The following is a 17,012-nucleotide window of genomic DNA, read 5'->3' as shown; positions in this document are numbered from 1 at the left end:
GAGCAGCTGGGAGGCCGGGGACTGCTCAGGGTCACACGGGTGCGGGAGACCCCATCTGTGGGGGCTCCTTCTGCCCAGGACTCACGAGTGGGCCAGGCTTGGTGGGTTTCCCCCTTCTTTCCCTTGTCGGGGGTGCAGGCCTGTCCTGGCCCTCAGCAGAGGCCTCCTTCCCAGCCCCTAGCAGCACCTGCATGATTAGGGCATCTCATTGTCTACCTGGAGACCCAACTACTTACTAGCTCATACCAGTGGGGCCCTTGGAGCAGCGCCTCTGTGTGGGGAAGCCACATGACCACCTGGTCACAGGTGCCAGGAGGAAAAGCAAGCCACCTTCAGGGATACAGCCTGGGCTGGGAAGGCCTTGGACACTGACCATGTGGAGCCCAGGCACAGAGCAGACAGGTTGGATGCTTCCAGAAAGGGAGGCCGCTCTCCCACTCTCTCAGCTGGTCCAGTGGTTGTGTGTGTGTGTGGTTGTGTGTGTGTGTGTGTGTTTAAACAGTTTTATGGAAATATAATTCACATATAAAATTTATCCACAGAAGGGGGACAGTTCAGTGGCTTTTAGTACATTCACAGTCGTGCAAGCAGAGCCACAGTCAACCTTAGAACATTCCATCACCCCAGAGAGAAACCTCACACCCCTCAGCTGTTACCCACCCGCAGCCCCCAGGCTTGGTGACCACTACTCTGTCCCTGGGTTGCCCATTCTGGTCCAGTGGTTTTCAACCTTTTAGGGGCTGGGAACAGACCCCTTTGTGAACCTTAAAGACTACGGGCCCTCTTTTTTGAGACAGAGTCACTCTGTCGCCTAGGCTGGAGTGCGGTGGCGCGATCTCGGCTCACTGCAACCTCCGCCTCCTGGGTTCAAGCAATTCTCTGCCTCAGCCTCCCGAGTAGCTGGGACTACAGGCACGCCCAAGCATGCCTGGCTAATTTTGTATTTTTAGTAGAAACGGGGTTTCACCACGTTGCCCAGGCTGGTCTTGAACTCCTGTGCTCAAGTGATTCACCCACTTCGGCCTCCCAAAGTGCTGGGATTATAGGCGTGGGCCACCGTGCCCAGCCACTACAGGCCCTCTTTGCAGAACATCTCATTTTAGGGTGCCTCCAAGCCCCCCAGGGCCCATAAGGAGTGCTGAGGAAGGCTGGGGGCATCCCAGTGGAGGGGTCAGCTAGGCAGAGGTCAGAGGACGGCTGGGGTTGGGGTGGAGCAAATCAGAGGGTGGGGGGAGACACACACACACACACACACACACACACACTCCAATGCCCACCATCAGGAGAATAGCAACTGGCCAGTTTTATGTTGTGTGCATTTGACCACAATGAAGAAAAAATAGACCAGGCGCGGTGGCTCACGCCTGTAATCCCAGCACTTTGGGAGGCCGAGACAGGCAGATCACCTGAGATTAGGAGTTCAAGACCAGCCTGGTCAACATGGTGAAACCCCATCTCTACAAAAATGCAAAAATTAGCCGGGCATGATGGTGGGTGCCTGTAATCCCAGCTACTCGGGAGGCTGAGGCAGGATAATTACTTGAACCTGGGAGGCGGCGGTTGCAGTGAGTCAAGATAGCGTGCCACTGCACTCCAGCCTGGGTGACAGAGCAAGACTCCATGTCAAAAAAATAAATAAAAATGTAATAAATTAATTACATCCTTTTTTTCTTTTTTTTTTGAGACGAAGTCTCACTGTTGTCCCCCAGGCTGGAGTGCAATCGTGCAGTCTCGGCTCACTGCAACCTCCGCCTCCGGGTTCAACCGCTTCTCTTGCCTCAGCCCCCAGAGTAGCTGGAATTACAGGTGTTTGCCACCACGCCCGGCTGATTTTTGTGTTTTTAGTAGAGATGGGGTTTCAACATGTTGGCCAGGCTGGTCTCAAACTCCGGACCTCAGGTGATCTGCCTGCCTCGGCCTCCCAAAGTGCTGGGATTACAGGCGTGAGCCACTGCGTCCAGCCCTTTTTTCTTTTTTTTTTAAATTTCATTTCTTTTTTCTATCCCCCAAATTTCCTTTTTTTTTTTTAAGCTCTTATAGACAGGGTCTCACCATGTTGCCTAGGCTGGAGTGCAGTGGCACGATCATAGCTCACTGCAACTTTGAACCCCTAGGCTCAAGCAATCCTCCTGCCTTGGCCTCCTGTGTAGCTGGGATTACAGGTGCACGCCACCATACCTGGCTAATTTTTTTTTTTTTTTTTTTTTTTTTGAGACGGAGTCTCGCTCTATTGCCTAGGCTGAGTGCAGTGGCGCAATCTCGGCTCACCGCAAGCTCCGCCTCCTGGGTTCACGCCATTCTCCTGCTTCAGCCTCCCGAGTAGCTGGGACTACAGGCGCCCGCCACCACGCCCGGCTAATTTCTGTATTTTTAGTTGAGACGGGGTTTCACCTTGTTAGCCAGGATGGTCTCGATCTCCTGACCTCGTAATCTGCCCACCTTGGCTTCCCAAAGTGCTGGGATTACACGCGTGAGCCACTGCGCCCGGCCAACCTGGCTAATTTTTTAATTTTTCTGTGAAGGGGTTTCACTATGTTGCCCAGGCTGGTCTTGAACTCCTGGGCTCAAGCTATCCTCCTGCCTCAGCCCCCGCCTCCCCAAAATGCTGGGATTACAGGGATGAGCCACTGTGCCCGGCCCTCCTTTTACTTTTTTAATATGGCTACTAAAAATGAAAAATTCCACACGTGGCCTGCATCATCTTCCTGGTGGACAGTGCTGCCTGAGAGTTCCCTTTTTGCGCTTCCTAGTGAGCTAGTGATCGACTTTACACCTAGTCCCCTTGTGATGGGAAACCCTCTGTTGAAACAGCAGGGTCCTCGCCTCACTGGACCGGGACTCAGACCAGGTGGAAATGATGATTTCATACTCATGGCCAAGCTGCCTCTCACCCCAGATGGAGGAAGTGAAAGTTCCAGCCTTTGCGGTTATTGTGGATTAAAAGCAAAAAGATTTTCGTGGAGGCGCCACCAAAGCCTGAAGTGTACCCGGTGGGCAGGACCCTCCACAGGCACCTCCACGCCCCACTCCTGCCCTGTGCCCGTAATCCCAGCACTTTGGGAGGCTGAGGCGGGCAGATCACTTGAGGTCAGGAGTTCGAGACCAGCCTCGCCAACATGGCGAAACCCCATGTCTACTAAAAAAATACAAAAATTAGCTGGGCGTGGTGGTGCACACCTGTAATCCCAGCTACTCAGGAGGCTGAGGCAGGAGAAGTGCTTGAACCCGGGAGGCAGAGGTTGCAGTGAGCTGAGAACCTGCCACTGGTCTCCAGCCTGGGCGACAGAGCAAGACTCTGTCTCAAAAAAACAAACAAACCAAAAAAACAGAAACAAAAACAAAAACAAAACCCCCAACAACTCCTGGGGACTGGACCTGAAGGGGTCTTCAGAGCGTTAAGCAGGACACGGAGGGCAGGTGAGCGAGCTGAGGGGCAGGAGCCATGGGGAGCCCCCAACAGAACCTGCTACTCCTGCAGCAACGTTTGGGCAGAAGAAAATCCTCAAATAAAACCTCCAAGAACGTGCACGCCAGTCACCGCTCATCTCGGACACGTTTATTGCTAGAATCAGGTCTTAAGTTCTAAAGCGGGTCAGAAATATCCCGCAGTGAGGAAATGTTGTAATCATTGTAAAAATAATTAGCAGGTGACTAAGATCATGACCACAACTGACAAAGACGTGTGCAGATCCCACGAAAATAGGAACATTTGCTCGACTGTCAACTTTACAAATAAAATCGGGCTCCAACCCAGGAGTGGCCGAGGGGCACTGGCGAGGGAAGGGCTGTCGGCGCTGCCGCCCGATGCCTAGCACGACTGAGACCCCTCTGCCACATGGCGGGGACGCGGGGTTCCCACCGCGTGGCCGAGCAGAAATTCCTTGAACTTCTCCCCCATCCAAGGAATTGTGGCATCTCGGAGGGCTGGACCGGCACACGCCGGCTCAGGAGGGTGCCAGGGTCTGGGAATGTTCTCTTCACAACAGAACAGGAATGTACAGTCAGCTTCTGTAAAGTGCTCCGATACTCAGTACAAAAATACAAAACACTGATGATAAACATGGCACACATGGGATCTGACGGGGGGCGGACAGCGTCGCTGATGGCCAGGGACCGGGCTGGGCAGAGTTGAGGTCGTCGGAGGGGCCAGGAGCCTGGGGACACCTGGCCACTGTGTTCTCAGGACCTTGTCACCAATGGGCTGTATGGCTGTGGGGCTCTGGTTCCCGGTTGGCACCAGCTCCTGCCCCGCCCCCTCCTGAGCCCACAGCACCCAGTGGGCGCCTCTGCCCAGGGGAGCACTTCCTGATGGAGTTTCCCCTCCCTTGTGCCCATCTGTCCCCGAGTGGCGGGAATGTCCCTGTTCACTGTATTCAGCGTCACAGGAGTGCCTCTGCCAGCACAGTGGGAGAAGGGCTGAATCCCCCCGGGATCTGCAGTTCCCAGGACCCTGGGTTCGGGAGAAGGACTTGGCCCTGGCAGGGGCTCACATGTACCCCACTGGGAACAAGGACGATCAGCCAGGACCCAGTCCTACCACCAATGCTTGGGGTGCAGAACAAGGCTTGACATGGGCCCTTTCTCCACCGGAGCTGGATCGTGGATGGATCTCACCACCCTGGGATGTCCCAGCACCTTTGATGCTGCCCAACACCTCCTTCCTCCACCCCTCCAGGGAACGGACCGTAAGCTGCAACAGCTCACTACAAGCGAGGGGCCCGCACAGCGGCCACTTGTCCACTTGCTGCAACGTCTCTAGGTGCATCCTCTGCATGCCCTGGGACATGGCGCTCTCGACAGTCTGTGATGTGCCAGCCCCCACCTGGAAGGTGGGACGCCAGCCCTGGGAGCTCATTTCCCGGGGGCTGAGGACCCTGTGCCCAGGGTGTGTACCCGCCCTGGCTGAAGCTAGAGGCCCGCTCCCCCAGACAGGCTGAGCGTGTGAACAGCAACGGTTGCCCTTGGGAAGCAGAGTTTGGGAAACAGCTGGTTTCAAAACCAATGCCAAGTAAAAAGGGGCAAAGGTCAGCCCCTTTCACGATGGGCTTCCAAACCCACAGAACCTGACTGGAGGGCCACTGATGTTCCCTCAGTGGGCCCTGCCCCGTGGCCCTCTCTGCCCATGCCCCCGTGCCTGGCTCATTCCCTGACCCTGAGGTTCATGGTGAACCTGCGTGGGGCTCTGTTTGGGAAGTGGATTCTGCCTGATTCTGGGGACAGATGCTGCCGACGCCACCTGGCCCCTCCTGGTGCCCTAACCCTTGGCTCCACTGTCGCGCGGCGGCTGTGGAGCGTGGCCCCGGCCGGCAGCTCCTTCTCAAAGCAAGGTCTGTCCTGTCCTCAGCTCCGTGCAGAGCCGGCACCGTTCCTCACTGCCTCGGAAAAACAGCTCGGAGTTGATCTCCCCGCCACCCGGATGGGGTGCTATGATTTCAGACAGCTCCCTGGTTTAGTTCTGGCTCAACTTTCCATTAAAAACTTTCCTTTTTGAAAAAAAAAAAAAGAGATTCAGAAAGTGACCCCGGCACCACCGCTAACCCTACAGAAACAGCTGCAAGGCCCAGAGCACCGACAGGCTGGCCCCTGCCAGGCGGTCATCAGTGGTTTGCTAGGGAAGAGGAGGGGACAGCTGGGTGGGCATGGTGACCCCATGGGGGTCCCCAGAGAGCAGGAAGGGTGGGCAGGGCAGGGAGGGGCCTTGCACCTTGAGTCACGGCCCTTTTAGAAGAAGATGACGTCTTCTTTGCTGGCGTCCTCCTTGGCGCTGAGTGGTGTGGCCGGCAGTGGCGAGGGAGCTGGGGGCCCGGGCAGGAGGGCTGTGCCCCCGGCCTTGAGAGAGAAGCCCTCGGAGGGGCTGTCAGCTGGCGGTGGGCTCGGGGCGGGGAAGCCAGGGTCTGGAACAGAGAGAGGGTTCAGACTGAGCAGTCGCCGGGTGGTGCCGCAGCCCCGCTGCCCTGGGACTGGGCTCATGTCAGGGGGTGGGGGCTCACCTGGTGGGGGCGCAGGACTGTGTCTGCCGGGCAGGATAGGGCTCAGCGAGCGGCGGTTCCGTGAGGTGCTCTCATCTTTCCCCATGAGCTTGTTGAGCAGCAGCTGCTGCTTCAGGTCGAAGGACGCTGGAAGAGAGAAGGTATTTGGGCCAGCTCCAGGCTGGCCAGCTGTCCCCACCCGCCAGGGCAGCCTCCGAGAGCAGAGGGGCCTGGCCACCCCCACCTGACACTTCCCACGGGCGGCCTGGATCCCGTGACCTGAGCTGCTCAGATGCTAAGCCCCAGATTCAGGGAGAACGGCCCCAACCTCCCTGCGGAAGGACCTGCAGAGTCACCCGGCATCTGGAGAGGAGGCTGAGCCTCCTGTGGAAATAGCACAGGCCCTAGTGACCACGGGACACACCCTTAATCTTCAGAGAACATCCCAGAACATCCCTGGTTGTCCCCCAGGGAGGTGTCCCCCAGAGGAGCTCCTGGACATCCTCCGTGGAAACACTGGGGCTGCTCTGGGCTCCGTGTCCCACTCTGTGGAACGGCTCTGTGGAACTGGGACAATGAGCAGAGGCGCCTGCACCTGTCCCTGTCCCGGCTGTGCTGATCCCACGTGGCCAGGGATCTCTGCCTTCTTGCCCGTGTCCCTTTCTAAGGCTCCTGGTCCCCATCCCACTGTTTTGAGGGTTGAGGTGGAGAAGATGCAGGGTGGATCATCTCAGTTTTGGGCCTGGAGACCAAACACGGCCCTGTGTGGGGTGGCCTCAGCCACGATGCCAGCTGTGCCTTCTGGTTTTCCTCTCCAGAGGATGGCACAGGTGTCCCGAATTTCCTGGCTCCCAGCGAGCCGCTAGAGCCTGACCAGTTGCACCTTCCAGGCCCAGGCGAAGGGGTGGGGCCGGCTCACCTGAGCTCTCCCAGCGCTGAGAGCCCCTGCTCTTGCCGCCCTTGTCCTTGCCACCCTTGGTGGAGGCCGCCAGCTTGGTGGGGATCTGCTGCTGCACGGCCGCCTGCCTCTGGAACTGGTTGGTGGCGCTGAGCAGCTGGATGGGCACATCGCTCTTGGCCAGCCGGTTCTCGGTGGGGGCGCTGTCCCGGCGAGCCACCTCGGGGCGCTCTGCGTACTCTGGCCCCACGCCGGATGGCAGCATGCTCACACGAGGGCCCTCCAGCCCTTCCCCGTTGAAGCTGGGAGGGTGGCTTGGGGGCTGGGCCTGAGGGGACAACAGCAGATACATCCAATGTGAGGTTCCTGCTGTGCGGCCTCTGGAGAGCCCCCGAGGGTCGTGCACAGGAGACCCTCGACCTCTCCTGTTCTGGACAGAGCCAGGTGCAGCCTGAAGGAGCTGCTGGTCATTGCCCGTCCCCAACCCCTGCTAAATGTGCAGACTTGTGGTGACACTCAGTGGCACCCATACTGTCACACACTCATATACAAACATCTCACACATCCGTGTCCACATCTGTTCACAGAACCCATGGTTTATAGATTTGTTTTCAGAGACACGGTCTTGCTCTGTCACCCAGGCTAGAATGCAGTGGCACAATCATAGCTCTTGAGCCTCTTGGGCTCAAATGATCCCCCTGCCTCAGCCTCCCAAGTAGTTTGGATTACAGGTATGTGCCACCACGCCCTGCTAATTTTTGCATTTTTTTTTTAGAGATGAGGTCTCACTACGTGGCCCAGGCTGGTCTCAAATACCTAGCCTCAAGCAATCCTCCGGCCTCAGCCTCCCGAGTAGCTAGGGTGCACACCATGGCACCCAGCTTCATTTTTTTTTTTTTTTTGAGACGGGGTCTCACTCTGTTGCCCAGGCTGGAGTGCAGTGGCATGATCACGGCTCATGTCTCACTCTGTTGCCCAGGCTGGAGTGCAGTGGCGTGATCACGGCTCATGGCAGCCTCATTCTCCCGGGCTCAAGTGATCCTCCCACCTCAGCATTCCAAGTAGCGGGGACCACAGGTGCATGCCACCATGCCTAGCTCATTTTTGTATTTTTTTGTAGAGATGGAGTTTCGCCATGTTACCCAGGCTGGCCTGGAACTCCTGCCCTCAAGCAATCCGCCTGCCTCCACCACCCAAAGTGCTGGGATTACAGGAGTGCATTTTTTTTTTAAGAAGTTTCTAACATTTATGGCATGTTTTGAGCAACAGCGTTCTGTTAAGCATTTAGCCAGCTCCGAGAAAGGTCTGTACTGCGGCATGAGCTGTTAATGCAAGGGTATCTTGTGCCGTTTGCTCTTACACTCCTGCACGCATGCACCCGCGAACCCTGTCACCTGCATGCACTCGTGCAAATGCACGTGCAAACCGGTCACCCCCAACCTGCGCACACTGGCTGCTGCGCGCTCACCTCGGCCAGTGTGTCGGGCGGCAGCGCGCCTGGCGCGGTGTTCTGCTTCTTGAGGCGGCGCAGCAGCTCCAGGCGCTCCCGCTCGCGCTCCACGGCACGCTGGGCCTCGCGCAGCCGCTCCAGGTCGTGCTGGTAGGCCTGGCGCTGGCGCTCCAGCTCGGCCCGCTCCTGCTCCAGCCGCTCGCGTAGCTGCCGCGCCTCGCCCTCGCGCTCCTGCAGCCGCGCGCCCGCACGCTCCAGCTCCTGGTGCTGCCACTGGCGCTCGCGCTCCCAGCGCTGCTGCTCGTGCCGCAGCTGGCTCTGCAGCTTCTCCAGGGCCGCGCGCTCCTCCCGCTGCTTCTCGAAGTTGCGTTGCCGCTCCTGCTCCAGCAGCAGGTTCCCACGCGTCGACTGCAGCCGGAACTGCTTCTCCCGCTCCTGGATGGCAGCCCGCTGCGTCTCCACATAGCTGTCCTGGTGGGCGATTACCGCCTGCGGAGGGCCAGGGCCAGGCGAGTGAGAGCCGCACCTGCGCCCCAGCCAACCAGGAAAGGGCACGCGTGGCCGGCCCCACCCCGCCCCTGTACCTGAAGGTTCAGGAGCAGCTGGGACAGTGTCTGGATCCGCTGGACAAGCTGCGGAGAGGAGAGGGAGATTGATGCTAGTTATCGGGCTGAGGCCACACGCGCGTGCACAAGGCCCTGGGGAGATGGAGACCCGCGGGCGCCTACCTCCGACTCCAGGACGGTGGGCAGACGGGGATCGGATTCCGTGCCTGGCGCCTCCACCTGGGAAGAGGACACCGTCAAACCAGAGAGAGTGGCTCAAGACCCATCCGACTAGACTCAAGCCTTCTTCTTCTTCTTCTTTTTTTTTAACTTTTTTTTTTTTTTTTTTTTTTGAGACGGAATTCTGCTCTTGTTGCCCAAGCTGGAGTGCAGTGGCGCGATCTTGGCTCACTGCACCCTCCAGCTCCCGGGTTCAAGCAATTCTCCTGCCTCAACCTCCCGAGTAATTGGGATTATAGGCTCAAGCCTCCACGCCTGGCTAATTTTGTGTATTTTTAGTAGAAACGGAGTTTCACCATGTTGGCCAGGCTGGTTGCAAACTCCTGACCTCAGGTGATCCGCCCGCCTCGGCCTCCCAAAGTGCTGGGATTACAGGCATGAGCCACCATGCCTGGCTTCTTTTTTTTTTTTTTGAGACAGGGCCTTGCTCTAGAGTGTAGTGGCCTGATCCTCCCACCTCGGCCTCCTGAGTAGCTGGGACTACAGGTGTGCACCACCAGGATCAGCTATTTTTAATTTTTTTTTTTTTTTTTTTTGAGATGGAGTTTTGCTCGTTGCCCAGGCTGGAGTGCAATGGCACGATCTCAGCTCACTGAAACCACCACCTTCCTGGTTCAAGTGATTCTCCTGCCTCAGCCTCCCAAATAGCTGGGATTACTCGAATGTGCCACCACGCCTGGCTAATTTTGTATATTTGGTAGAGGCGGGGTTTCACCATGTTGGTCAGGCTGGTCTCGAATTCCTGACCTCAGGTGATCCACCTGCCTTGGCTTCCCAAAGTGCTGGGATTACAGGCGTGAGCCACCACACCCAGCAGCTATTTTTAACTTTTTTGAAACAAAGTCTTGCTTGGTCGCCCAGGCTAGAGTGCAGTGGTGCAATCTCGGCTCACTGCAACCTCCACCTCCTAGGTTCAAGCGATTCTCCCACCTTAGCCTCCTGAGTAGCTGGGATTACAGGTATCCACCACCACGTCCAGCTAATTTTTATATTTTTAGTAGAGACAGGGTTTCACCATGTTGGCCAGGCTGGTCTCAAACCCTGGACTCAAGTGATCACCCGAGTCGGCCTCCTGAAGTGCTGGGATTACAGGCATGAGCCACCGCACCCAGCCAAAGGATCAGCTATTTTAAAAATATTTTGTCGACATGTGGTCTTGCTATGTTGCCCAGGCTGGTCTCAAACTCATGGCCTCAAGTGATCCTCCCAAGGCCAGGTATGGCGGCCTTGCCTATAATCCCAACACTTTGGGAGGCCCAGGCAGGAGGATTGCTTGAGCCCAGGAGTTGGAAACCAGCCTGGGCAACATAGTGAGACCCTGTATCTACCAAACATTTAAAAAATTAGTCAGGTGTGGGGGCGCGCACCTGTAGTTTCAGCTACTTGGGAGGCTGAGGTGGGAGGATTGCTTGAGCCTAGGAGTTAGAGGCTGTGTGAGCTGTGATCACGCCACTGCCCTCAAGCCTGGGTGACAGAGTGAGACCTTGTCTCCAAAAAAAAAAAAAAAAAGTGATCCTCCCACCTCGGTCTCCCAAAACACTGGGATTATGGGTGTGAGGCACTGCACCCGGCCCCTGCTTATTATTGAAAATACATCCCTTAGTGTGGATAACAGGAAGGACCCAGGACCGGGTCATGACTGGGAACACAGGCCCTGCTGGTCAGCTGACTTGTACAAATCTGGGTGTTTGGAAAACGAGGGGCTGGGGCCTCCTGGGAGGTAGAGTGGGCTTGGCTATGAGGCCTGCGTGCCAGCTCTGGCCACAGGGGCAAGTCCAAGCCTCAGAACTGATCAGAGGCAACTGGCCTTGGCCTCTGACCCCCTGACCTGGGCAGGGCCGAGTAGGCACCTGGCCTTCTGATTCAAAGGCAAAGGAATAGCCGGGGACATCTGGCATCTGGTAGGCACCACCACACCTGCCCCGGCTGAAAGCTGGTGGTCCCTGTAGGGGGTTCCTCGCCTGTTGATGAAGCCATGGTGAGTGCCCTGAGCCTGTCCCCTCCCCAGCCTTCCTCTTGGGGACCTCTTTGCTTTTCCCAGGAGGCTGCAGGAAGAAATCACCTGCCAGTGCATTAATCTGGGCTGAGATACTGTTATTCACCACAAAACAAACAATGCTTGTCGATGCTAATAAGACTAAAACTGGACAACCCCAGCAGAAGCTGCTCACACACATGAATCCTTATGACGACTCAGACTGTACCGAGCAAATGGATATCCACGTACCACCTGCGGCGATTCCTCAGAGCTCCCAGGAATGTCACTGTCACTGAGCTTCAAGTCCGGGCTGTTTGGGGGGCCTCGCCAGTCTCGGGGCCTGGGGTCAGTGCTGCTGACTTTCTTCTTGAAACTGCCATCTGAGAACCCCAAGCCAGGGGCATGAGGATGCTGCCATCCCGTGGGGAGGGGGAAGCTTCCCAGTCCACCCCCAGCCCCTGCCCAGGTAGGAAACCCAGGCTAGGCCCGAATGGTGGCGTCTGCAGCACAGACGCCTGCTGGAGAGGGGCAGGCTGGTCTGGGTGCTGCTGTCACAACACAACCAACGATGTCTGGAGGGTTTCAGAAGGTTCCAGAAAATCGGCTGGGTGCGGTGGCTCACACCTGCAATCTCAGCACTTTGGGAGGCTGAGGCGGGCGGATCACCTGAAGTCAGGAGTTCGAGACCAGCCTGGCCAACATGGTGAAACCCCATTTCTACTAAAAATACAAAAAGTAGCCGGGCATGGTGGCGTGTGCTTATAGTCCCAGCTACTTGGTAGGCTGAGGCGGGAGAATCACTTGAACCCAGGAGGCAGAGGTTGCAGAGAGCTGAGATTGCGCCACTGCACTCCAGCCTGGGTGACAGAGCAAGACTCTGTCTCAACAACAACAAAAAAGAAAGTTCTAGGAAACCCCATACAAGTTAATGTGCATCCTGAGGGGCGGCCCTGGAGGCAGGAGGGGAGACGGCCCCGCTCTTACTCTTGGTGGGGCTGTTTGTGCAGTCGTAGCCCGCGAAGGTCTCAGCCCTCCTGGGCGGGCCTGTGGAGCTGCCTCCGTCTTCCGCCTGGCCGTTGGCGCTGCCCAGCTGCCTGCAGATCAGGCTCTGGATGCCCTCGACTGTGGAAGGAAGGGGACAGGAGGCACGGGTCGCCCTGCGGAAGTGTGCTGGGGGAATACGGAGCGCTGGGGCAGCGAGACCCGGGTGGACGGAGGGACTCACTGGGGTGGTGATCGCCTGCCCCCTTCTGTGTGCCGTGGGATTTCAGCCCCACTGTCCCTGCGCACACCCTTACTTCAGGTATGGCCACCAGGACAGGCCAATCTGCGTCTAAGTGAGAGGACAGGGCTGTGGGGCAGCCATGGGGAGGGCGGGTACAGGCTCCTGCAGCTCCTTCCACCAGGCCGCCCTGGGCCAGGGGCTGGCGAATGCTGGATGTGGCCCTGCCCAGGGCCAGCAGGAAACACTTGGTGTGTTATATGACAATGACCATACACTGATTGTGTGACAATGGCCATATGGGAGAGTGACTTTGTGGGGAAGGGCTGTCTACAGAAAGCCCTCTAGGACCAACAGGCTGTGGCCAGGCACAGAGGTGGGGACAAGAACATTCCAGGCCAAGGTGCGGGATATGAGAGTGTCCCCAGGGGGCCAAGAACAATGGCCACTGGAGCCGGGTGGAAGGATGTCAGTGGGCCTGGAGGGAGAAAGACTGACCCCCGTCTCTGCCGTCTTATTCTGCGGAAAGGCTCTGGAAGGCAGGGGCTGAGTCGGCTTCCCTCACTGTTGAAAGAGCAGATTGAGGCAGGGCGCGGTGGCTCACGCCTATAATCCCAGCACCTTGGGAGGCAGAGGAGGGTGGATCATCTGAGGTCAGGAGTTCGAGACCAGCCTGGCCAACATGGTGAAACCCCATCTCTACGAAAAATACAAAAATTAGCTGGGCGTGGTGGTGGGTGCCTGTAATCCCAGCTACCCAGGAGGCTGAGGCAGAATTACTTAAACCCAGGAGGTGGAGGTTGCAGTGAGCCGAGATCACGCCACTGCACTCCAGCCTGGGTGACAAAGCGAGACTCCATCTCAAAAAAAAAAAAAAAAAAGAAAAGAAAAAAAGAAAGAGCAGACTGGGCGCTGACTGCCTGCTCAAGCGGCCAGCCCAGGGGCCTGGCGGCTGTGTTAGAGCTGTGCGTGGGGACCCACTGAGGGAGTGTGCGTGTGTTTTTCTGGGGATATCACCAGGACCCACCTCCCAGGAAGAAGAGGAACCTCTGGTAGGTAGGGAACCAGTCTTAGTCAACTTCAGATCCTCCCCACGGCCCGGCTTAGAGCCTCTGCATGCAGGGAGCATCAGAGCGGTTGTTGAACGGGGAGAAAGTGCTTTATGTCTGCAAGGAGCGGCTTGGCCCAGATTATGTCTAAGGCCCTTCTGGCTCTCACAGGCACCGGGGGGCGGTCAGTGCTGCTCCTGGGCCCCCCCCACATAGAAGCCTGTCCTGGACAGGGTGCCGTGTCGGCCACAATGAGCCGTGAGCCTGGCCTGGGGTTCCCTGAGGAGCCCACCCCGGCAAGACTGCACCCTTGAGGTGTGGGCAGCCAACTTACTCTCGCTCATGGCCGACTTGAGAATTAGCTCCCCCTGCAGGGTCTCGGATGGGTCCCCTCCACGGAATAGGCCTCGGGGCTGGGGCAGGTCTTCGAGGCCGCCCATCTCGGCCATCTCCAGGTAGATCTGCTGTTTCTCTAGGAGGCTCTGTGCGATCAGCTGGTCTTTCATGCTCAACCGCTCTGCAGAGTGATGGTGGAGGTGGCAGTCAGCCGGGTCGGCCTTCCCTGGAATCATCTGAGCCCCGGGGACTGGCCTAAGGATGAGGAACCCCGCTGGCCCTGCCCTGAGGTAGGCTGCCCCCTTGTGTCCTGCATTCCTGGGAGGTAGGGGAGGGCATGGCCTTGTCCTCTGATTATTTTCCCCCTTGTTATAAAAATCAGGTTAGCTGTGGTGGCTCAGGCCTGCGATCCCAGTACTTAGGGAAGCCAAGGTAGGAGGACTCTTGCGGCCTGGAGTTCGAGACCAGCCTGGACAACATAATGAGACTCTGTCTCTACAAATAAAAAATTAGCTGGTTGTGGTGGTGCATGCCTGGGAAATGAGGCAGGAGGATCGCTTGAGCCCAGGAGTTCAAGGCTGCAGTGAGCTATGACTGCAGTACTGTACTCCAGCCTGGCCAACAAAGCAAGATCCTGTCTCTAAAAGAAATAAAATAAAATCAAACACAGTAGGGTGTGAGTGAGGATTGTATCAGGCCCATTTATTAGTCTGGGACCAACTTAGAGCCTTAGAAAACTGAATTTTCCATCCTCCCTTTCTTTCTTTCCTTCCTTCTTCTTTTGAGAAGGAGTCTCGCTCTGTCGCCCAGGCTGGAGTGCAGTGGCACAATCTCGGCTCACTGCAACCTCCACCTCCCGGGTTCAAGCGATTCTCCTGCCTCAGCCTCCCGAGTAGCTGGGACTATAGGCACGCACCACCATGCCTGGCTAATTTTTTGTATTTTTAGTAGAAACGGGGTTTTGCCATCTTGGCCAGGCTGGTCTCAAACTCCTGATCTCAAATGATCCACCTGCTTTGGCCTCCCAAAGTGCTGGGATTACAGGCGTGAGCCACCGCACCCAGCCTAATTTTTAAATTTTTTGTAGAGACAGGGTTTTGCCATGTTGTCCAGGCTGGTCTCAAACTCCTGGCTTCCAGTGATCCATCTGCCTCAGCCTCCCAAAGTGCAGGGATTACAGGCATGAGCCACCATACCAGGCCACTTATTGTTTGAGTATTATCCAATTTAGAAATGAATAATACAGGGCCGGGAGCGGTGGCTCACGCCTGTAATCCCAGCACTTTGGGAGGCCGAGGCAGGCAGATCACGAGGTCGAGAGATTGAGACCATCCTGGCCAACATGGTGAAACCCCATCTCTACTAAAAACACAAAAATTAGTGGGGCGTGGTGGCGGGTGCCTATAGTCCCAGCTACTCGGGAGGCTGAGGGAGGAGAATCTCTTGGACCTGATAGGCAGAGCTTGCAGTAAGCCGAGATCACGCCACTGCATTCCAGCCTGGTGACAGAGCGAGGCTCTGTTTAAAAAAAAAAAAGAAGATAAAATAAAAAAAAATACAGACAGTGAAAGGGAAGAAGGGAGCTTGCCGCAGGCTACAGGGCACCAGGAATTGTTCTTGACAAAGTGCTCACTGAGCGCGGGCGAACCTTAATACCACACCTCGAGAGGAGCCAGACCCAAAAGGCCGCGCGGTGTGACTCCATTTATGTGGAATGTCCAGGGCAGGCCAATCTACAGGGACAGGAAGTAGATTCCTGTTGCCAGGGTTGGGGCATGGGGTGGGGAGTGACTGTTAAGGGGGACGGGGCTTCTTTCTGGGGTGGTGGGATGTTCTAAAGTTAACATGATTCTGGCTGCATAATTGGAAATGCACTGAAATGCCCCTGAACCCCACGCTTGGGAGGGTGAGTGCTGTGGTGTGTGAATTACATCTCAATCGTGTAATTAAACAGGGAGGAGGAAGCTCTGGAAGGAGGCTGTGGGGACCCTGTGCTATTCCTTCGTATGGGACTGGGATGCCCTGTTGAGCTCCTGGCTGCACGAGGATGGGGTGGTGGTGGCGTGTGTGGCTGTGTGGTCGGCTCTGGAAGGGGCTCAGGTCCTCTGGGCTCTCCTCCCTCCCTCTCCCACATACCCCCAAAGGGCTAAGTGACCTCTGGAGATCGCTATGTCATGGCACAGCCCGTTCTAATGCTTCACAGAGCTGCAGGACATGGCACAGCCCACGGGAAAACACCGGGTCACCTGGGGGGCAGTTCACCCTCTGTGGCCAGTCCTGATGGAGGGCCCAGGGCTCACCACACAAGGGGTGTGCCCAGACGCTGTCTCCCGCTCACCTTGAAAGTCCCGGAGTCTCGTGGCGCGGGCCTCGACCACCTTCCTTTCCTCTTCGGGCAGGCTGAAGGGCCCCTCCTCCTCGTCAGGGCAGCTGCAGGGAGAGGAGTCGGGTGGGTAACTGTGCTTCCCAGGCAGGCCAGCCTCGGCACAGACGCTGGTTCTGCAGAACCAGCCGCCACGACCGTCTCTGACTTTGGGAGTGATTTAGCTTGTTCGTGGTGCAGGAGGACGAGGAGGGGAAGAGAGAGAGCCACTGACATTCATCCCGCCCCAAAGCGCCAGGGCATAACCAGGAAGAGGCTTTACATGCCTGCCTGTGACTTAGAGGAGGAGTCCAGGGGACAGCGGGCTTGCAGAGGACCTGCCAGGTGCAGGTGGGTGGCTGCAAGCCCCGTAGAGCTACAGCTACTGTGGATGGGGGAGTCTGAACCAGATTAAGGCACCAGGAAGCCTCCGGGAATCAAGAGAGGGAGTGGACAGGCATGGTGGCTCACGCCTGTAATCCCAACACTTTGGGAGGCCAAGACAGGAGGATGGCTTGAGGCCAGGAGTTCAAGACCAGCCTGGGCAACACAGTGAGGCCCCATCTCTACAAAAATAAAAAATCTAGCTGGGTGTGGTGGTGTATGCCTGTAGTTCAAGCTACTTGGGAGGCCGAGGGGGTAGGATGGCTTGAGCCCAGGAGTTTGGGTTGCAATAAGCTATGATTGTGCCAGCGCACTCCAGCCTGGGTGATAGAGCAAGAGCCAGACTCTAAAAAACAAAACAAAACAAAACAAAATAGGCTGGGCGCAGTGGCTCACGCCTGTAATCCCAGCTACTCGGGGAGGCTGAGGCAGCAGAATCGTTTGAACCTGGGAGGCGGAGGCTGCAGTGAGCCGAGATTGCATCACTGCACTCCAGCCTGGGTGACAGAGCAAGACTCTGTCTCAAAAAAATAAAAAATAAAGAGAGGGAGGGGAAGCCAGCTGGTTCTGGGCCCTGAG

The 17,012-nt window shown here is 56.9% G+C and overlaps 1 protein-coding gene across 15 annotated transcripts in view, besides 1 other annotated feature; it reads right to left on the bottom strand.

Moving 5' to 3' along the window:
* Positions 1–17,012, bottom strand: part of ARHGEF18 (Rho/Rac guanine nucleotide exchange factor 18) — a 131,053-nt gene that overhangs the window by 3,970 nt on the left and 110,071 nt on the right. For 5 of the 15 annotated variants that reach the window (XM_006722706.4, NM_001367823.1, XM_011527839.3 and 2 more), the window contains 10 exons: positions 16,026–16,117; positions 13,686–13,868; positions 12,065–12,202; positions 11,330–11,460; positions 9,046–9,102; positions 8,902–8,949; positions 8,336–8,806; positions 6,889–7,195; positions 5,991–6,116; positions 3,542–5,894 (listed from right to left, as the gene is read on the bottom strand). In XM_006722706.4, coding sequence (XP_006722769.1) covers positions 5,722–5,894; positions 5,991–6,116; positions 6,889–7,195; positions 8,336–8,806; positions 8,902–8,949; positions 9,046–9,102; positions 11,330–11,460; positions 12,065–12,202; positions 13,686–13,868; positions 16,026–16,117 — 1,726 coding nt within the window. In that variant the 3' untranslated portion in view covers positions 3,542–5,721. Of the gene's footprint in view, positions 1–3,541; positions 5,918–5,990; positions 6,117–6,888; positions 7,196–8,335; positions 8,807–8,901; positions 8,950–9,045; positions 9,103–11,329; positions 11,461–12,064; positions 12,203–12,236; positions 12,867–13,685; positions 13,869–16,025; positions 16,118–17,012 lie in introns of those variants that run through there. The other 10 variants (XM_005272464.5, NM_015318.4, NM_001130955.2 and 7 more) reach the window with 5 other exon arrangements.
* Positions 2,816–2,865: a silencer, noted in NCBI's record as "silent region_9981". NCBI's record gives its function as "represses an Ori minimal core promoter by ATAC-STARR-seq in GM12878 lymphoblastoid cells {active_cell/tissue: GM12878}" and the evidence as "EXISTENCE:reporter gene assay evidence [ECO:0000049][PMID:35858748]".

This window comes from Homo sapiens, chromosome 19, assembly GCF_000001405.40.
Source record: "Homo sapiens chromosome 19, GRCh38.p14 Primary Assembly".
Taxonomy (NCBI): domain Eukaryota; kingdom Metazoa; phylum Chordata; class Mammalia; order Primates; family Hominidae; genus Homo; species Homo sapiens.
The sequence above is the reverse complement of the archived record's forward strand: the minus strand, read 5'-3'. Positions and strand labels throughout refer to the sequence as shown.